The sequence below is a fragment of the Homo sapiens genome, chromosome 2 (genome assembly GCF_000001405.40).
Source record: "Homo sapiens chromosome 2, GRCh38.p14 Primary Assembly".
Taxonomy (NCBI): domain Eukaryota; kingdom Metazoa; phylum Chordata; class Mammalia; order Primates; family Hominidae; genus Homo; species Homo sapiens.
In genome coordinates, this window is record NC_000002.12 from 74,091,135 (window position 1) to 74,112,514 (window position 21,380).

Here is a 21,380-nt window from a genome sequence, read left to right on the forward strand (position 1 = left end):
AATAGACCTGTATGCAAATAGTCTAATTTGTTATTAGATTTTTATTTACGGTAAGATTCACCCTCCCTTACAAGCAGCAGATGTGGTTGCTTCAATGAATGGAGCCCTGGGGCTACCAGGACCTAAGAACTACTAGGAATGGAAAGACATTGGCTTAATTTCTCTCAAATTCTTTCCCTGTTCTACCAACTGCCACTTCCTGTGCTCTTACGATGTGCTAAGCACTTTGCCAAGCCCCTCATAGGTTTCTCAGATGATTTCACGACCCCTCCATCCCAGTGATCTAGGCACTGTTACCCCTCACTTTACAGATGAGGCAGATGGCTTCCTTAAGCCCATGTGGCTAGTTCATGGTGAAGGCAGGTTTGAAACTCAGGCCTGTGTGTCCCTAGAGCTCACAAGCCTCACCCCCTGCTGTGCTGGTGGCAGCATCTGGACATCAGGCAGGGAGGTGGCCTGGCATCACTGGCCCAGGCTGGCCTGGTCAAGAGTGGCTGGCAGCCCTGGCGACCCCACTGGATGTACAGCTGAGCTGTGGGTCTCCACCTTCCATTTCTCATTCTGTGTGCTTGGTTCTTTTTCTCTTTCCTCTCTTCCTGCTTTCTTCTTCATAAACCCTTTGTGCCTGTGCTCGTGGTGTCCTAGGAGCCCTTCAAGCCCTGCTTGTTTTCGGAGGGCCAGACAGAGGCTGTGGATACCTGGAACTCTCTGCCACATGTCACCAGGGGCTGCTGCTTCACATAGAGCAGTGCTGTCCCACAGTACTTTCTGTGATGTGTGGAAACATTCTCTGCTGTCCATACAGGAGCCACGTGTAGCTGCTGAGTATTTAAAATGGGACTAGTGCAACCAAGGGACTGAATTGCTTTAATTTTTATTAGAATTCAGGCCGGGCATTGTGGCTCACGCCTGTAATCCTAGCACTTTGGGAGGCCAAGGTGGTTGGATCACCTGAGGTCAGGAGTTTGAGACCAGCCTGGCCAACACGGCAAAACCCCATCTCTACTAAAAATATAAAAGAAATTAGCCGGCTGTGGGCACCTCTAATCCCAGCTACTCAGGAGGCTGAGGCAGGAGAATTGCTTGAACCCAGGAGATGGAGGTTGCAGTGAGCCAAGATAATGCCACTGCACCCCAGCCTGGGTGACAGAGTGAGCCTCTGTCTCAAAGAAAAAAAAAAATTAGAATTCATCTGTATTTCTGTAGCTTCATGTGGTTTGTGAATAACATTACGTAGTACGAGTCTAGCAGCTGGAGCTTTGAAGTCTGTCTGTATTCCTGGCTTATGACAGGCTCTGGGCTGGGCTGGGCTGGGCTGGGCTGGCTGTGGAATTTCTAGCATGGATCCTGCCTGCCTTTCTCTTCCTGTCTGTAGCCTGGGAGGAAAGATCCACAGTTGTTGCTCTTGGCTTTTTCAGTCCCACTGTGCCGCACCTCTGACCTACGGTGTTCAGCACTCGAAAGCAAGAAACGTTTGATATGTTCTGGGCTGAACTGGGCGGGAGCCTGAAGGAGCAGTAGTTTAGCAGTCAGGATGACTAGACCTTCAGGCCGTGGCTTCCACAGCTTTTCCTGGGAGCCTCAGTGTCCCCAGCTGTGAAGTGGACACAGCACCACAGCCCTCCTGAAGGAAAGGCCAGAAAGACACCTGATAACACCTCCCTCCCAGCCTCCCCCACGATGCTTCAGGAATGCCAGTCCACTTCCAGGGTGCAGGGTCTGCCAGGCGGGGCTGCTCTGGATGTGTGACTGCCCCTCTCTCTGCAGGAAGAAGTGCTCCGGAAGAGTTTCCAGGACCTGGCCACCGAAGTCGCTCCCCTGTACAAGCGACTGGCCCCTCAGGCCTATCAGAACCAGGTAACGGGCCCTGGGCCTTTTGCTGCCCACATGTCACCGTCCACATCTCTGCTCAGGCTCTGAAGGTGGGAAGTGGGAGAGTGGGCTCTTTTACTCTCTTATGGGAAGAGCCTAGTCCAGAAGTAAAGCGATATGATGTGGTTCTTTGATAAAAACCCCTTTTTTACACCAGGCTACCTGCATCCCACACCGTCCCTCTTCTATCCTGGTCTTCTCCCTTCCCCTGGTAACCCATCCACCTCCTCTGGTCTGGTATCCACTGGTGAGGCCCGAGTTTCTCTCACCTGTCACCCTTGTATCTCCTAGACAAGGCAAGGGGACTTGGGATAACCCAGAAGGAAGTAATTCCTACAGGAGACTGAAAGTAACTTTTTTGTAGCTGGGGCCTCTCAGCCAGAAAACCTCCCTCCTGCAGTCGAAGGGCAAGGTGACTATCATCCTTAACATCCCTCCTTCCAAGACCTGGCCTCCCCAGGTGCAGAATCGGGGCCACTCACCTCAGGTCATGTGAGCACCTCTCCTTGGCTGTCTACACAGGTGACCAACGAGGAAATAGCGATTGACTGCCGTCTGGGGCTGAAGGAAGGACGGCCCTTCGCGGGGGTCACGGCCTGCATGGACTTCTGTGCCCACGCCCACAAGGACCAGCATAACCTCTACAATGGGTGCACCGTGGTAAGCCTGTGCCCTGTCATAGCCCCACCTGTGGGGCAACTGTGGGAGGGAGTCCACCGTGGTCTTTTCAGAAAGGCAGGCTGAGGGTAGGGAGGGACCTGGAGACAGGATCCTCAGAACTCTGGAAGGTTCCCTGCAAGACGGCCTGCCTTCGCCCACCTCCCAGAGAAAACCTCACCAGAAAACCCTTGAACAGACAAGGCTGGCTTTGTGTCTGTGTCTTAGGGGGATGCTGCAGGATGTAGCCCCTCAAGCACCTGGAGTGCCCAGTTATCTAAAGCGTGGGCCCCGGTCTCTGTGGACACTTGGATTTAAATGCAAACAAACCCTTGATTCATTCTTTGGACAAATGTGTATTGAGTACCAGCTGTGCCCAGGCACTGCTCTGCATGCTGCGGGATGAAACGGACAAAGTTCCTGCCCAAGTATGTGTGGGAATGTCCTGTAGCAATGAAGGCCAAGAGGGAAAAATGAAGTAGGGTGAGGGATAAAGCAACAGGAGATGCTGTTTTAGATGAGAGGCTGCTCTGAGGAGGGGACGTTTAAGTTGAGATGTGAATGGCGCAAGAGAGTGAGAGAGCCACTATCTGGGGGTAGAGTGCTCCAGGCAGAGGGACCAGCGTGTGTGCAGGCTCCGAGCGGGGAGCAGGCTGGGTGTGTGTTCAGGGAACAACAGGAAGGGAGTAACTTACTGCAAGGGGCAGGGAGAGTGGGATTGGAGAGGCCTGCAGGGACCAGCTCACAGGGAGCCTTGAGGGCCAGGGGAGGGTTGCGGGGTTTGCTCTAAGTGTGATGGGAAGCTGTTGAGGGCTTCTCAGCTGGGCAGCAGTAAGTTTGCATTGTAAAGTTAGACGCACTCCTGCTGCTGCAGTTAGAGAATGAGGTGTGTGATGGTGGGGGCAGAGTGAGGTGAACGGGAGGGAATAAGAGGAAGGAGGCGAAGGAGGAGGCTGGGGCAGCCATCCAGGCCAGAGGGGACACGGCTTGGGCAGGAGTGGGGGGAGGTGCTGATGGGACAGATTTTGGATGATGTGGAAGGGACTGCCAAGAGGATTTGCAGATGGGCTGGATTGTTATGTGAGCAGGACTTGAGGAGCACTCCAAGGCTTTTTGCTTCAGCATCTGGGTGAGTGTTGGTAACATGGACCGAGATGTAAGTAACAGGGGAAGGCTGAATTTAGGAGTAAGAAATCAAGAGTCCTGTTTCAAGATGCCTGCTAGACGTGCAGGTGGAGATGTGGAGTAGGCAGGGGGCAAGGAGGGTCTGGAGAGCACGTGGTTTATAGTTAGAGCTGTGAGGCCGACGCCATCAGCAGGGGAGTGAGTGCAGATGGAGAAGAGAGGGAGTTTGGACTTGGTTAGGGGCTTCCTTGAAGGGATGATGCTGGCTGTCTGCTCTGCCTTTTAGCCAGGTTCTGGGCAGACAGGGCTTCCAGGGGCTGAGGACGAGACAAGGGCACCAGCACATCTGCCTGGAAAGAGGGCTCCCAGATTCCGAGTGTAGCTTATGCCCCCTGGGGATTGATGGACCCACCTCGGGATTTCATTTCTCCACTTGTTTTCTATCACTGCATCCAAGACTGAGAAGCAAGAAGGGGCAGCTCCTGCTGGCACTCTGTTGTGAGGATTTCTAGGTGAAATACACAGAAAGGGCATGCCCACAGTGTTAGAGAGACGAAGGAGCCCAGGGGGCCCTGGAAGGTGGGCGAGAGCAAGAGCACCATGAGGTGATCTGGATCGCAGAGCTTCTAGAGTTTGGGGTTGAAAAAAGGAGTATTTTCTTCCAAAATGAAAAGTATTGTTTTTTCCTAAACAAGACTCATTTTTTAAAAATTTAAATAATATTAAAAAGGTTGCCTGAAATCTCAGAGATAACCAGTTAGCAGTTTGATGACCATCCATTCAGACACCCAAATGTGTATGTATGCACGAATGGCTTTATGAAATTTTACCCAGATGGGGTCACATTATATATACATGCTGTTCTATGACCTGCTTTTCTTAAGCTTTCTATGTCAGTGGACTTCATTTTCCGAGGCTGTATGTATGGCTCTGCCATCATTTATTTAACCAGTCCCCTATCAATGGACAGTAAGTGCTTTCAGACATTTCCCTTCTGTAAACCACAGGGAGAGGCCATTCTTCTCACGTATTTGTGCAGTGGCGCAGTAACCTGCTTGAGATTGCATTGATGTTTACTTTTACAGGCTTGGGGCACTAATTCTCCTACTTACTTGGCAACACTGGATTTTGTCAGTCTCTTTCATCTTTGCCTGCTGCCTGAGTGGGAAACATATGATCTTATTTTAATTTGTGTTTATTACTAGAGAGGTTGAACATTTTTTCCTATTTCTTCTTACACATTTGAATTTCATCTTTGCGACTATCCTATTTATGTACTTTACTTATTTTTTTAATCAGGCTACCCTTACCTTTTGATATTTGTAAAGTATCTCTTGTAGGAAATACAGCTTCTGCCACATCTTATCTTTTGGATTTTCCCTTTGGTCTGTTGTTTATAGCATTAGTCTGACAGACTGGTAGGAAGCAGGGCTGGGGCTGGCCAGTCCAACCCAGAAAGTACACAGGAGGCTGGTCAGAGCAGAGGAAGTCGTAGACCCACACATAGTCTGGGAAGAAACAAGCTGGGTAGGGCATGACACCAAACTCAGAGTGCCTCTAAGTGAAAGGGTTAATAAAGTTAGTGCCATAAAAATATAAGTTTTCTGTTCAGCGTAATAAAACACCATAATAACAATTGAAAGGCCAATACAAACTGGATACCTTGAGTTATCCTTGAGTTAAGAAAAGCAGGTCAGGCCGGGCGCAGGGGCTCACGCCTGTAATCCCAGCACTTTGGGAGGCTGAGATGGGTGGATCACCTGAGGTCAGGAGTTTGTGACCAGCCTGGTCAACATAGTGAAACCCCGTTTCTTCTAAAAATACAAAAAGTTAGCTAAGCATGGTGGCAGGCGCCTGTAATCCCAGCTACTGGGGAGGCTGAGGCAGGAGAATCGCTTGAACCCGGGAGGCAGAGGTTGCAGTGAGCCGAGATGGCGCCACTGCACTCCAGCCTGTGCAATAAGAGCAAAACTCTGTCTCAAAAAAAAAAAAGAAAGAAAGAAAGAAAGAAAAGCAGGTCAGGCTGGGCACGGTGGCTCACACCTGTAATGCCAGCACTTTGGGAGGCTGAGGTGGGAGGCTCACTTGAGCCCAGGAGTTTGAGACCAGCCTGAGGAATACGGCAAAACCCTATCTCTACAAAAAATACCAAAAATTTGCTGGGCGTGGTTGTGCATGCTTGTAGTCCCAGCTACTCAGGAGGCTGAGATGGGAGGATCACTTGAGCCCAGGAGGTTGAGACTGCAGTGAGCCGTGTCACACCACTGCACTGCAGCCTGGGCAATAGAGTAAGACCTTATCTCAAAAAGAAAAAGAAGAAAAAGAAAAAAAAAAAAAGAAAAGCAGGTCACAGAATAGCATGTATATATAATGTAATCCGATTTGTAGTTTTATATAGCCATACATGCACACACACACACACACACACACACACACACACACATACATTCAAATGTCTGGGTAGTCATCTAAACACTAACAATGACTAATAATTCACAGAGCTCCAACTGCTACAATATTTGTAACGTGATAAAGAAATTATAACTTTAATATGCAAAGATGACTTCATGATTTAAAAAATGACAAGTCGTATATAGTAGTGGGCAAAAGTCATAAAACTCGCAAAAGAAGGAAGACAGTGAGAGAATTGTGTTAAAATGGGCCAAGGATTGATTTTAATCGGATATGGTAAGACATGCAGACCTGGATAATTGTCAGGAAAGAACTTTATACTCAGATCCTAGAAACAGGAGGGCAGGTCATGCTCGGGGGCTACTCAGGGGAGCACCGGGCCAGTCAGGAGGCAGAAGAGGAAGAGTGGGGAGCATGGCCCAGAGTCTTTAGTGGGGTTTTGCAGGGAAGAATGGGTGATGCAGCGTAGCTACACTGGGGAAGTTTAGGATTGAACAGTTTGAATATTTTAGCAGGCTCTGAGCTATGGGGTGGTTCCTCGTGCACGGCCCTCTATTAAGGCCAGGGAAATATTGGTTTGGTGTGTGAGTTTGATAAAGGAGATGGCGAGGGGGTGTGAGCTCTGGATTTGCTGGTTCATATATCAGAGGCACACTCGCAGGGAGCCATTTGCTATCTCTGAGAATTAAGTAGCCCTGGGAGGGGCAGCCTCTCTGGGATCAAGACCCCAAATGCCAGAGCATCAAAAATATAGAAAATAAGAAAATATAGTCAACACAAGAGTAGAGAGTAAACTTGAATAAAAAAGCAAATCTTGTGAGAAATGTACACCAACAACGAGATCGATTTTAACAGTGAGCAAAAAGTTTTTAAAGAAATTAGTGGAAAAAATATAGGAAAGTTGAAACACATTCTGCTGGTATGAGTGAAAAACCGAATCATTTTTGAGGGTAGTCTGGCAGTATGTGGCAGTTCTACTTAACATTCATTCTAAGGAATTAAGAATCTTACAAAATTTAGCTAAAAGGGTATTTCAAAAAGTATTGTTTATGGTATAAAAAAATTGGAAACAAGTTGAAATATTTGATAATGAGATTAACACATTGATACAGTAGAATAATATTACACAGCTCTAATCATATTGGGGGAGAATATTTAATGCACAGGAAAATATTTATACTATGTTAAGAAAAAAATGAAGCTATTATGTGACCATATGCATAATACCCCCTTTAATTAGCAAAAAGTAATTGTGTACTTGTGTATGTACACAATTAGGTGACCGTGATATTTAAAGTGATTACTTCTGGGTGGTGGGATGGGAGATTTTGTTTCCTTTTTGCTTGCCTAAATTTTCTATAATCAGCACATAGAGTTTATAATAAAAAGGAAACTCTTTTTTTTTTTTTTTGAGACGGAGTTTCACTCTTGTTGCCCAGGCTGGAGTGTAGTGGCATGATCTTGGCTCACTGCAACCTCCATCTCTGGGTTCAAGCAATTCTCCTGTCTCAGCCTCCCAAGTAGCTGGGATTACAGGCGCATGCCACCACGCCAGGCTAATTTTTATATTTTTGGTAGAGACAGGGTTTCATCATATTGATCAGGCTAGTCTCGACCTCCTGACCTCAGGTGATCCACCCGCCTTGGCCTCCCAAAAGGAAACGTATTTTAAGAGCAAAAGGAGGCTGAGTGTTTAGAACAAGGAAGATAATGGTGGACGGTCTGAGCTTCACTGGGCAACGTGGTGCTGTGGCGTCAGTGCTATGCCAGAGGGCAGAGCAAGCCTCCAGGTCCTGGCCAGGCCCCTTGCCAGGTATCTCATCTCCTCTCAGCCTTCTTAGGATCATAGGAGATAATGTGCCTTGAAAGTTGATGAGTGGACTGTAAATGCTGGTGATACTGTTGCCCCGTGAACCAAGATCAATGTGCTTTCCACAAACTCTTGGAAGTAGTAGTGGCTGGTATTGGGATTGTGTGGGGAAAGATGAGGTCATGTGTTTTGGGTGCTCAGACCCCTCTCTCCCAGCACTCGGTCCCCCAACCCCATGTCCTCTCTCCCCCACTGCTTGGGGCAGGTCTGCACCCTGACCAAGGAAGACAATCGCTGCGTGGGCAAGATTCCCGAGGATGAGCAGCTGCATGTTCTCCCCCTGTACAAGATGGCCAACACGGATGAGTTTGGTAGCGAGGAGAACCAGAATGCAAAGGTGGGCAGCGGAGCCATCCAGGTGCTCACCGCCTTCCCCCGCGAGGTCCGACGCCTGCCCGAGCCTGCCAAGTCCTGCCGCCAGCGGCAGCTGGAAGCCAGAAAGGCAGCAGCCGAGAAGAAGAAGATTCAGAAGGAGAAGCTGAGCACTCCGGAGAAGATCAAGCAGGAGGCCCTGGAGCTGGCGGGCATTACGTCGGACCCAGGTGTGTGGGGGGAGGGTGCCCGCTTGGAGTCACAATGGCACTGTCCTCATGGGGGCCCCTGCTCTTCCACGCACCCTCCTGCATCACACTGGAACTGGGGCCTCTGCTTAATTGTCAGTCAGAAGGGTATCTGCAGCAGCCACAGCCAGCCTGATAGGAGGCCGTGGGGATGCAAGTACAGCAGGACTTGTTATCTGCGTGGAAGTGAGCTTGGTAGAGGGGAAGCACTGGGTTTCTCCTCTAGTTTGCATCCCTCAGAGAATCAGAGGCTCCCCTCTGAGCTCTAGTTTGCTCCCCTCTGAGATACTGAGGTGAGTAGCAGCACTTCAGGACATGTGGGTGTGTGCCAGGGCAGCAGGGCTTATGGGCGGAGACGGTTGCTGGCAGGCATCTGAGTTCTCATTCTCCTGGCCCTGGTCCCTGCAGTGATCCCGACTGGGCTGGGCACAGAGTGGGTGGTGGTGGTTCAGTACAACTTCTGGAGTTCTCTAGGGTGAAGAGAGGAGTCGGTGGGGGTACTGTGGACCCCGCATGAGGTGCTTCTCAGCAGGGATCGCCTCCTCCCACCCCCAGTGGGGCTGGGGCTGGGGCCTGTGCTGAGCAGGGCCCAGGGAGTACGACCCGTTCTGGGCTGGACATGCCTCAGCACCTCACCTGCCTGTCCCAAAAGAGGAAACATCCCTGGGAAAGAGGGAGGGTCCATCCCCAGTCCCCGACCCAGGGCCTCTCCAGGCTGTGGTGTTGTCTGCCCCTCTGCCATCTTGCCTTCTGTTTCCCCAGGCCTGTCTCTGAAGGGTGGATTGTCCCAGCAAGGCCTGAAGCCCTCCCTCAAGGTGGAGCCGCAGAACCACTTCAGCTCCTTCAAGTACAGCGGCAACGCGGTGGTGGAGAGCTACTCGGTGCTGGGCAACTGCCGGCCCTCCGACCCTTACAGCATGAACAGCGTGTACTCCTACCACTCCTACTATGCACAGCCCAGCCTGACCTCCGTCAATGGCTTCCACTCCAAGTACGCTCTCCCGTCTTTTAGCTACTATGGCTTTCCATCCAGCAACCCCGTCTTCCCCTCTCAGTTCCTGGGTCCTGGTGCCTGGGGGCACAGTGGCAGCAGTGGCAGTTTTGAGAAGAAGCCAGACCTCCACGCTCTGCACAACAGCCTGAGCCCGGCCTACGGTGGTGCTGAGTTTGCCGAGCTGCCCAGCCAGGCTGTTCCCACAGACGCCCACCACCCCACTCCTCACCACCAGCAGCCTGCGTACCCAGGCCCCAAGGAGTATCTGCTTCCCAAGGCCCCCCTACTCCACTCAGTGTCCAGGGACCCCTCCCCCTTTGCCCAGAGCTCCAACTGCTACAACAGATCCATCAAGCAAGAGCCAGTAGACCCGCTGACCCAGGCTGAGCCTGTGCCCAGAGACGCTGGCAAGATGGGCAAGACACCTCTGTCCGAGGTGTCTCAGAATGGAGGACCCAGTCACCTTTGGGGACAGTACTCAGGAGGCCCAAGCATGTCCCCCAAGAGGACTAACGGTGTGGGTGGCAGCTGGGGTGTGTTCTCGTCTGGGGAGAGTCCTGCCATCGTCCCTGACAAGCTCAGTTCCTTTGGGGCCAGCTGCCTGGCCCCTTCCCACTTCACAGATGGCCAGTGGGGGCTGTTCCCCGGTGAGGGGCAGCAGGCAGCTTCCCACTCTGGAGGACGGCTGCGAGGCAAACCGTGGAGCCCCTGCAAGTTTGGGAACAGCACCTCGGCCTTGGCTGGGCCCAGCCTGACTGAGAAGCCGTGGGCGCTGGGGGCAGGGGATTTCAACTCGGCCCTGAAAGGTAGTCCTGGGTTCCAAGACAAGCTGTGGAACCCCATGAAAGGAGAGGAGGGCAGGATTCCAGCCGCAGGGGCCAGCCAGCTGGACAGGGCCTGGCAGTCCTTTGGTCTGCCCCTGGGATCCAGCGAGAAGCTGTTTGGGGCTCTGAAGTCAGAGGAGAAGCTGTGGGACCCCTTCAGCCTGGAGGAGGGGCCGGCTGAGGAGCCCCCCAGCAAGGGAGCGGTGAAGGAGGAGAAGGGCGGTGGTGGTGCGGAGGAGGAAGAGGAGGAGCTGTGGTCGGACAGTGAACACAACTTCCTGGACGAGAACATCGGCGGCGTGGCCGTGGCCCCAGCCCACGGCTCCATCCTCATCGAGTGTGCCCGGCGGGAGCTGCACGCCACCACGCCGCTTAAGAAGCCCAACCGCTGCCACCCCACCCGCATCTCGCTGGTCTTCTACCAGCACAAGAACCTCAACCAGCCCAACCACGGGCTGGCCCTCTGGGAAGCCAAGATGAAGCAGCTGGCGGAGAGGGCACGGGCACGGCAGGAGGAGGCTGCCCGGCTGGGCCTGGGCCAGCAGGAGGCCAAGCTCTACGGGAAGAAGCGCAAGTGGGGGGGCACTGTGGTTGCTGAGCCCCAGCAGAAAGAGAAGAAGGGGGTCGTCCCCACCCGGCAGGCACTGGCTGTGCCCACAGACTCGGCGGTCACCGTGTCCTCCTATGCCTACACGAAGGTCACTGGCCCCTACAGCCGCTGGATCTAGGTGCCAGGGAGCCAGCGTACCTCAGCGTCGGGCCTGGCCCGAGCTGTCTCTGTGGTGCTTTTGCCCTCATACCTGGGGGCGGGTTGGGGGTGCAGAAGTCTTTTTATCTCTATATACATATATAGATGCGCATATCATATATATGTATTTATGGTCCAAACCTCAGAACTGACCCGCCCCTCCCTTACCCCCACTTCCCCAGCACTTTGAAGAAGAAACTACGGCTGTCGGGTGATTTTTCCGTGATCTTAATATTTATATCTCCAAGTTGTCCCCCCCCCTTGTCTGGGGGGTTTTTATTTTTATTTTCTCTTTGTTTTTAAAACTCTATCCTTGTATATCACAATAATGGAAAGAAAGTTTATAGTATCCTTTCACAAAGGAGTAGTTTTAAATTCCATTTAAAATGTGTATTTATTGGATTTTTTAAAAGCGACAATAGTAATGGTAAAGGATGGGCAGGAAAGGCCAGTAGTGCTCCCCCGCCCAGTCTCGCTGGGTCTGGCGAGCCAAGCCCCTCGGGCGCTGGCGAGGTCCTCAGCCATCTGCCCCTCGAGAGCCAAGCGCGGACGGTAGCCACCCAGTTCATCCCTCCCGACATACACCCCTTCCCTTTGGGGAAGGGAGCCTCAGGACAGCTTCTGTCCTCTCTGATAGGATGGGAGAGTCTGCAGAAAACCATCTGGGGTCCCTTTTCCAGTCCCCGGCTTGGAGTCGAAGGGCAGATGCACCCCAGGCCAGCCCCACGAGATGCTGGCATAGCTTTCCCCAGAAACCAGGTTGGAAGTAGATGGCTTCAAGCTTGCTAGTCTCCACACTGAATCCTCTGTCCGTTATTTATGGAGTCACACGATGTCATGGTTCACTAGGCAGCACCTCACGCTGGAGCTGGAGTGCGAGGTTCTTAGGGGCCGTGCCCACCATGTTGCCAAGCCAATGCATGCTGAGCTGAAGGAATTTGTCTTAGTGGCAGTTTTTTAAAAAATGCCCCCAAAGTCTATGCTGATACTGAAAAAGGGCTACTGTATCTTTAAAAACAGGAAGTTGAACCCAAGCTGTGAAAAGCCAGTGGTGCTCTGTGCATGGTGCTGTGCGGAGCCTGGTGCTGTAGTGTTGTGCTGGGACTTTCTTGACTCTTGGGCAGGTCACATCCTACAGGAGCTCAGCAGACCAGTGTAACAACAGTTAATGCATCTATCCTGATCCCTGAATTTCCACATTGGACAATGGTGCATGCCTCACACCTGAGCCTGCTTCCTCCATGCTGTCATTGGGTTCGGGGGCCTACACTTAACAATTTTAAAGTGCAAGAGTCAAACATTTTCAACAGGTTGCTATAATTTTCCTCCCTAATTGGTGCCATTTCTCCATTTGATCATTTTCTTTTTTTCCTTTCTCCCCTCTTCATCCACTTTAATATAGCTGTTCTGAAATTCTGGTGCATTCATTCGGTTCTTTGAAATGAGAATGTGGTGCTTAATTTTTGTGACGTTGTCGAGAGAGGTTGGGCCTGATGGGAGCAACACTCATCATCACCAAGTCAAACTTTGTTGGAGTGTTGGTTTTTCTTGTGATATTAGCAGAAATGATCTCATGCTAGCCATGTGGATGTGTGTGTGGTGAATGGGGGGCTTCATCAGGACACACAGAGGGGAATGTGGCCACACGGTGGATGACCACCAAGCCCTGAGATGAACAGGTATTTACTGAGCAGTTGTATTCAGATATGGGTCTTCATGAATCATGTTTAACAATCAGATGACCGCTATAGGCAAGTTCCTGAGCTTCCGGGTGCCTTGAGTAAGAGCTGAGAACCGGCCTGCTGGGTGTTTACTGTATCTGTTTGGAAGCACTGGCGGAGGGTCGTTGTAAGATGTCCTGAGCATTTATGTGGTCTGGTTTTAACTGTAAATAGTGAAAGATTTTTTTAAGCACTTTTGCCTAGATTTAAACAGCAACTTGAAAAAAAAAGTATGTTTTAACATGTAATTGTGGGAGAAATTGTAAATAGTAGCCGAATATTTAATGTGCTTTGTCTATCCTCCACTTTTACCATATTCTGTAAAGTTGCATTTATTTTACAGGACAAAAAAATGAAATATTATTGCTTTTGAAATAAATACCCAAGAGCTTATCAGGACTTAGAATTATTCAGAACTCAGATTTATAGGAAAACCTCTGACCTTCAGTTTGACAAGCTAAAGGAAGCAGAGTCTTTAATGAGCATGCTAATTTTCTAGTTTTGAGGAAAAATTGGGTCCTTTAAATGCTATTTTGCTTATCGCATCAGTACTTTTATGCAGGTCTCATTTGACTCCGTGCTTAGGTAGATGCGGGGGTGCCTTGAAAACTTCATTTTAAATGATCTTAAGCAAGAAATACAATATTTTACGAAACATTTGGAGAATGTGACCGTCTGTATGACCCGTGGAAGCCCCAGGTTGGCTGTTGGTTTGGAAGGTCCCGAGTGTAACCCAGGTGATTCTGATACTTGGCATGTGTGAATCTTCCTGATGTATGTTAAATAAACTCTTCCCCTCATCACCCTTTGGTAGGAAAGCCATTAGATGAAAGGAGAAACCAATACAAGCTAAAAGCATGCGACGTCTGTCCCCCAGCCCAAACAGCCTTGGTTCATCAGTTTCTGCAGTAGGAGATAGGCTGCTGAGAGGTGAGTCAAGAGGCAGTCTCCATTGGATGTCCCCACTCCCCGCAGAATGGCGTTTCCAGAGTTAGGCGGTGTGGTTGCCGTGCTCAAGCCCATGCTGATTTGTACACTACATGTCTAACCTACCTCAAATCTCAGTCATTAAAATTAGCATGCTTTAGACATATATTTAAAAAGTAACTATGCACAGCTCTTTATCCCCCCCTTGCTGCTGAAGCTTTCTTAAAGAGAAAAATCAAATTTTTATTTTTTACTGGCACTATCATTTTTTAAGTCCTAAAGATGATTAACAGACATTTTTATCATGAGAAGAAAAATAAAGCCATTGCAACTAAAGAACCTAACAGCATGACCAAGTTCGAAGAGTCATATTATAGCAACGGAAATCGATGGCGTCTTAGTCATCTCCCCAGTGTGCCCTGTCCACGGACACCATCCACGTGCAGTGCAAACATTTGGTTCCTTTTCTGCTCTGTTTTGTTTTCCCTGCCTGTTGCGTGCAAGGGAAGTGCTTGTAAAGTTCTGTGCTACGAGATTTTTAAAATAAAAATCGCTTCGCAGCAGGTTCTCACAAAATAACTGGTGCTAGCTCAAGAAATCATCATCTGACCATCAGAAATCTTGACTAAAGGTGTTGCATGGATTTGGGGGTCTTTCGGTTTTTGGTTTTGGGTCTGGCTTTTAGCAGGGCCAATGTTTCCCACACCCCGGCTTCATGGGTACTGCTTTGCCTTCTCACCAAGGTGACGATGGTGTGCGTGGAAAGAGATGATACCCCACCGCCCCCTCTTGGTCCTTCCACCAGCCTCTTTTGGGAACAGTAGTTTGCAGAGCAAGGGATTTTTAAAGCGCTAAAGCAAGGAAAGAAGTAGCAGAGCTTAACTGCTTTGTACCACACAGCAGTAGATGTGCAAGGACGGTTGACAATGAGTCGATGATAACCTAATTTCATTGAGAGAAACCCAGCCAGACTTGCTTCTAGAGGTTTAATCACCATGAGATCTCAAACCAAGGCAAAGCTGGTGGAAAACTATATGATATCCCTGACGTGCCTCAACCAGTATCTCTTTCCTTTTGTTACTGAAGTGTGTTTTATGGACTAGGAAGCATTTTTATGAATTGAAATAGTCTAAATAAAATGGTGCTATGGTGTTTTAATGTGACTGTCCCTGATCCTGTCTTGCTGAGGTGCTATCAACGTTCTGAAACCACAACCAACCAAAAACAAGGTGGGCTCCAGTCTCTTGGCTTTTTTTTTTCCCTCCCCTCTTTTGGTGCTGTCTTAGACCCGTTTACCGTGCTATAATCTGCTCTGAGCAGTGTTGTGTTGTGTTGTATTGTTCTTCCCTTGGTGGCCAAACAAAGCAAGTCGAGAAGGCAGCTATCTCCCTTTCTGTGATCGGGAGTGGGCCTGCCTGGCTTGGCAGGTGCTTTTTGGTTCCACACCTGTCTTCTCAGGCTTGATGTGAAAGAAAGGGCGAAGGGTTTTTTGAGTTTTTGTTTTTGAGGAAGGGGAGTTGGGTACTTCTGCCTCTCCTAGCATGATAGGCATTCTCATAGCCAGGGACAGATTTTCTCCTGCAGCCCAGGGTGCTAAGCAGACATCTCTGGGAGTCCCAAGGGCACACCAAGGGAGACCAGATGGATCTCCTTCCTCCCCTGGCACTGGCTGGGACCATGGTGGGCAGGGGCTTCATTCTCTGACCCAGCGTTGCTTCTGCCTCTCATTGGTAACCCCTTATGTTCGGACTAAAGGAAGGAGCTTTCTTTGCTCACTCGATGCCACTGAGGCTGCTTTTTAGTTGGTGCTAACCTAAATTTCTTCTTGGGTCCACAGAAGTTGATGTTTTAAAAACTCACCAGGAAGCTCCATTTTGTGTCATCCACTGTCACAATAATTTTTTTAAATACCTCAAAAACAGGACATCATGACAACTTCAGTAAAGTAGATTCCATGAGGGTCTGATACCTGCAGGTTGTCCGTCTGATGACATACTTGACCTTGAAAAATCTGGGGTCATTTTGTTTTTCATTCTTCAGCAGTTAAGATAGCGGAACGCCGAAAGGAAGGAGCGTAGTTGGCTGTATTTCATGTTTAAGTTTTGCTTTTGAATAAAATGTGAATTTCCTATGCCCATCTCATTGAGCTTTCTCAGTCATTGTTGCTGTCATTTGAAATGACTCCCTCAAAACCTAGTTTTATTAGCCAGCTGCCTCTGCTGTAGTACATGGCCAACTTCAACATACCCTGGACCAAAACATTTTTGAGGTGCATACCCCCAACATAAGTTACACAGTCCCACATCCAGGTGCACAGAGTGCGAGTGCACTCCGCGAGTGCGGGGGGAGGGGCGGCCCCCTCTGGTGCTCCCAGCCCTTCCTCCTGCAGAGCTGCAGGCAAGAGCAGAGCAATAGGCTTCTCCCCTGAGCAGAGACCGCAGCACAGAAATGCAAGGTCTAAAGTTGCTTTTTGCCTAAGAATCAGCGAGCGATTTGGCCTACTTCCTCATTGGCTTCTATTCTGATATCAGGGATGCTTTTTGTAGTGGTATTGTTTGCTCCCTCTTCGCGTTTTGACTACCCGTCATTCAGGGGTAACTCATCACTCTTCACACGGGGATTTAAATTAAGAAACTAATTGGCTCATGTGAACATTCCAAATTTTCTTGGTTTCAATACCCTTTTTTTTCTTTTGAGGGGAAAAGAGGGGAGAAAAACAGGAGTGATGTCATTTCTTTTTCATGTATTCCAATTAAAGAAACAAGGGCAGGTCGTATAATGGCATATTAATACATTAGACTTAATCTAGAACCCCTGTAGCTTTTTGATGTGTTTTATTTCTTATCTCTTTGAATTCCTGTTTGGTTACTTGGCTTCCAATGGAGGTGAACTTAACAACCATACTTGAATATTCCGTCTTGACTTTGTAAACTGTGGCTACTTGAAATGAAGTTTATCTGGGGTTGATGGATGAATGGTAGATTTTTGCAATGTCTCAAGGCAATAGGATGTGTATTAAACTGTAGATATTCTTAGTACAGTAAATTTATGCTGATAATTTTATTTTGTATAATTTTTACCTTTTTGTTAATATTTTTTCCTTCCACTTTATTGGTTTGCCTCCTGAGCTACCCCTCCTTACCCTCCCTTCTCCCTCAGTGTTTCAGTAAATTTAATTTAGGGTGCCTAGAAATTGCAAGTATGTATCCTTTTTGATTTGTATTTTATTATAATTTACACAAACAACTGGGTTTGTGAACTGTATTACTCCTGGTATCTTTAAAATATTGTGGGTGTTTTAATAAATTTTATATTTATTTTTTGCACTCAAATTCAGTGTGGGTTCTCTTTTTCCCCTTCTTGAACCAGGACTGGAATGTGATGTGTCAGGTACCCTGTAACCTCACCCACCCACCGTATGTTGTAGATGTACAAATGAAGCCCTCACTAATAGCAGCAGCGGAACCTGGCCTTGTCCATTCTGCCACCTGGATAAAGGAATGTTCAGAGGCTATCAGCTGTTAAAACGGGATCTAAAGGGAGAAAATAGAGATGGCCTTTTTCTCATCTATGTTTCTCTTTTTGTTTTCTTTCCCTTTTATGTTTTTTTGTCCTTTTTTTTCTTTCCACTGGGAGATACCTCCCTCCTACTAAAATTAACTTCTGATGTTTGTTAGGTTTGCTAAAGGATCACCAAATGCTGCTTGGTTCGGATGGCTTGAACAGCAAGTCTAGTAGGGATTGGCTAATATACGGAACCCGAGATTCTGCTGACCAGCGGCAGAGGTTTCCCGCAAGATCCCATGCCTGGAGCTACCTTCTTTAATTCAAATTGCCAATTCTGGAGGTGGCTGTTCTTGAAAAGGGAATATGAATTGAGGAAGGAGGAGAGAGAATAGTGAATCTGCTTGCTCTTCCTCCTTCCTCCTGCATGAAACATCTGACTGAAATTGATCCAGTGTCTTTGAGGGACAACCAGCCCAGCTGTTGATAAGGACTTCAGCAATATCCCAACATCCCAAGTCACTCTAGGTGGGAAAGTTCATCTCTGAGGGCATCTGAGTGAAAATACCATGATCATAATGAGTGCCAGGTGATCGGCTTGGAGGTTTTTATCTCCATTTTACTTTGCTTGCAAAGGAACCCACTGGAAATGCCTTGGCACACCTGGCTATCCAGGGATCCTCAAACATGTTTATATGTTTTACAAAAGTGGGGTCACACTGTGTTTTGTAACCTGCTTTCCTCCTTGAGTTGGAAGAGACCTAGTTCTGTCCCCTTCCTGAGCGCCTGTCATGATGGATCCATCTGCAGAGCCTGAAGGGAGGGCCAGGACATTCCTCCTTCAGCTGGGGCTGGTTTCACTATTGGTTAGCTATAAATATGCTGCCATCTCTTCTTATACAAGTTCCATGTTAAATATAGAAAATTAGAAGACAGAAGTTCTTAAAAGTTATCTGAAATCCCACCACGAGAGAACCGCATATTGGTTGCAAACATTTTGAGTGTGTAAATACGACCCATATGTATTTTTTCAAATGGAATACAATAATACAATCTTGTAATCTTTTTGCACTTAAACTATCTTTATCAGTATGCAGAATAGCATCTTTTTAAATAGTTGCCTAGCAATGTTTTTAGTATGGATACAGAAGCATTTAATCATCCCTGTATCACCAAACTCTTTAACATCCCAAGTTGTTGCAATTATAAATTGAACTAATCTAAATGTGCCTCCATGTAAATCCCACTCAGTCTATTTCTTTCTACGCTGAGAAGCGTTGCAGTAAATTCCCCTCTGCCACGTGACTACATTCTTAATTCCATAAACCTTCTTGTAACAGGTCCAGGCCCTGTCCACCACTACTCCCCACCGTGCCCCCGTCTGTTCACACCTAGAGCATCATTATTCATATTGGGATCTCTAGAAATGAGCAATTTGTTCCAGATGGGATCCGGCTCATGCAAGCCAAGCACAAAGACACCAAGGAGCCCCACGATCTGGACACACTATTTTTATGAGTGTACACCAAGGTTTATTAGCTTTTTAAGCAGCGGCTTGTGGCTTGGAAAGAACATAGATCCCTCACTTCCCAATTGTGTGATTTGATGAGGGTTTCATCTCCCTGTGTCATTTTGTCAATAAGACAGGCTAATGATACCACATAAGATATAAGGATAAAAAAATTGCTACAGAAGTGAAAGTGCCAGGCATTCGGGACATAGCAAGTAATAAGAGCTATCATTATTACTCTTGACATATGCAAAGCTTTAGATCACTAAGGAATCCAAGACTAGTCTTGGGACCACATAGTGACCTCTTCAGTGAACTTTTGCCAAATCAGGTCCACTAACTCAAGTCTGCGTGCAATTTTTTTTTTTAATGCTTCACACAGCAGTTGAAATGTAGCCATCTTAAATGAACTGTTTAACCCACTCTCCCTGCCTATTTTGAATCTTAATTTTGTCAAATATTGGTTTACCCAACCCAGCTACACAACTTGGTCAGCAACTTTGTTGTGTGTTCTGATGCTCTTGTAAGCTTCTTAAGCTTGGAGAGCTGTTAGTCATCTTTGTCTCCCATTGTACTCTGAAAATAATGGGCATTCAACGTCCCATGTCCATGGGATGGTGCATCCATACATACATCATGTCCCTGCAAGGGGACATGAAGCCCTAAAAACATGTTCGACACACATAATCCAGTGTACATTCTTGTCAGAGCCATGAACACAACATAGAAGACGTGAAAGACAAAGCTTTGTTAAATTCTAGATACCCCCCAGCACCTCATCCCCACTCCAGAGGTCTTAGCAGAGGCCTGCTTTCCTCTACTGAGAAGCCCAACCCCAGGCCCAGGGAGCCTGCCCAATTTCCCTCACCACACTTCAAACCATCTTCCTGTATGTTTGTCCTCTTTACTGTACACACACCCCTGCTGCTCGGTACCCCTGACTCTCACTCTCCATGTGCACCCTGTGCTGCTCCTGTGGAACATGCTTCATCCATTAACCCTTTTCTGTGGCTTCTCCCCATCACGTGCTCTCAGGTTCACCCCAGCCTGACCCTGCTGTGCCTCATAGACCTTTCCCACTCCTTCCTATCACCACCACATATCTGCAGGTGTAGACAACCTCCTAGCTTGAAGGTCCATACCACTCACTCACCTGTACCTTTATTTCTCCAGAAATAGTCAGCTTCTGAGCCAGGGATCCTCATCCTCACTGACCTCTGTGAAGCCCTGGAAACCCTCTGCTCCCGGACTGCATAGCCAGGAACATTCCATTGTCCCAGGACCCTGCCCCCTTTCATGAGCCCCTTTGTGACCTCTTGTCCTTTAAACACAAATGCCCCCAAAAGAATCGACTCAGTCTTCTCCACAGACTATAAGCTTTCCTTCAAAGGACTTGTTCAGCCACCAGGCCTCAACTATGACCCTAATGCCAATGATTTCCAAAGCCATGTCTAGCCTCATGAGTTTGGGCTGCTGGATAGCTCTGGGTGGCTCTTTGGTAAGGTCAAAGTCTTAACCAAAACTGACCTCTCAACTCTCCACCAAATTTCCTATTCTCCCAGTCATATCCTGACACCTGCCAAGTCTAGATTCTACATCCTCAGCATTCTCAATCCTGCTTCTCTTTGCTACTTTTATTAGCAACCCACATTGTACAGTCATACAGGCTATGCACTGCACAACTCTGGGGAACACCATTCATACAGACTACCATGTGTAAGCCTTAATTACAGATATGGACTCCTCCCTGATATGGACAGAGGCATGTTGGACAAGGACCACAGTATAGCCCTCTAAAGCTGGGGACCCAGGGCAGAGGCCTCTCATATCTTGGTCTAAATGTGAGACCCTTCAGAAAGGTTGAATGGCTTGCTCAAGACCATCCAGCTAGGAAATGGCAGAGCCCAGAATCAACCCAGGTGTATTTGGTGCCAAAGTTTGTGCCCTATCCAAATATACCCCTGTTTCTTCTGTACCTTAAGACCCACAAACCCAAGGGACATTGTCCTCACTGGTGGGAATCTACCTACCTAAAGCTTAGGGCATGACCTGAGTCTGTGGGTCTATGGGCACAAGAGGCACAGGTTGCAACAAAGTGGCTCCACAGGAAGACTTTGGCTCTTCAGAGCATCTTCAACAGGTATTGTTATTTGAAAGACTTCAATTCTAGCCCCCATTTGATCTCCCTGCCCAGCTTACCAAAGCCAATCTCCTTACTCAGATAATCTTTCTAAAAACCAAATCAGATGATACTATTTCCCTGTAATACTCCTCGATACTCCCCATTTGATACAGCTCTCAGGATAAGACACATTTTAACTTTGCCGCAGGGCCCCACAGGACTTGGCCCCAGCTTGCATCTTTAGTAACACTGCAGGCCATTTGGTGTCTTTTATCTGATTATCTCCTTGGTGCACCTCCCCATGTGGCCTCTCAAATATGAAGGGTCTTCTGATGGTAATGCCAGTAATACCACCAAGAACCCACTCCTTTTATTTACTTATTTGCTTTTAAAGTATCTGTAAGAAACTAACTCCTTTTGAAATCCATTAAAACATTTACATAAACTATAAAACCGCTCCAAATAAAGAAAATTATCAATAAGAACCAAAACATCAGCAAAATTATACTCAAGGAAGTAAATAAACAGGAAACC

At 48.0% G+C, this 21,380-nt stretch overlaps 1 protein-coding gene across 16 annotated transcripts in view, besides 1 other annotated feature; it reads left to right on the top strand.

The window, feature by feature from the left end:
• TET3 (tet methylcytosine dioxygenase 3) overlaps positions 1–21,380 on the top strand; it is a 151,868-nt gene that overhangs the window by 107,504 nt on the left and 22,984 nt on the right. For 8 of the 16 annotated variants that reach the window (XM_011532683.3, XM_017003566.2, XM_011532684.3 and 5 more), the window contains 5 exons: positions 1,768–1,857; positions 2,237–2,284; positions 2,395–2,532; positions 8,142–8,478; positions 9,259–17,042. In XM_011532683.3, coding sequence (XP_011530985.1) covers positions 1,768–1,857; positions 2,237–2,284; positions 2,395–2,532; positions 8,142–8,478; positions 9,259–11,042 — 2,397 coding nt within the window. In that variant the 3' untranslated portion in view covers positions 11,043–17,042. Of the gene's footprint in view, positions 1–1,767; positions 1,858–2,163; positions 2,285–2,394; positions 2,533–8,141; positions 8,479–9,258; positions 17,043–21,380 lie in introns of those variants that run through there. The other 8 variants (XM_047443659.1, NM_001287491.2, XM_047443660.1 and 5 more) reach the window with 4 other exon arrangements.
• Positions 8,316–8,815: an enhancer, noted in NCBI's record as "H3K4me1 hESC enhancer chr2:74326577-74327076 (GRCh37/hg19 assembly coordinates)". NCBI's record gives its function as "activates a minimal SCP1, AML or CMV promoter by ChIP-STARR-seq in primed H9 embryonic stem cells {active_cell/tissue: H9 hESC(primed)}" and the evidence as "EXISTENCE:reporter gene assay evidence [ECO:0000049][PMID:30033119]".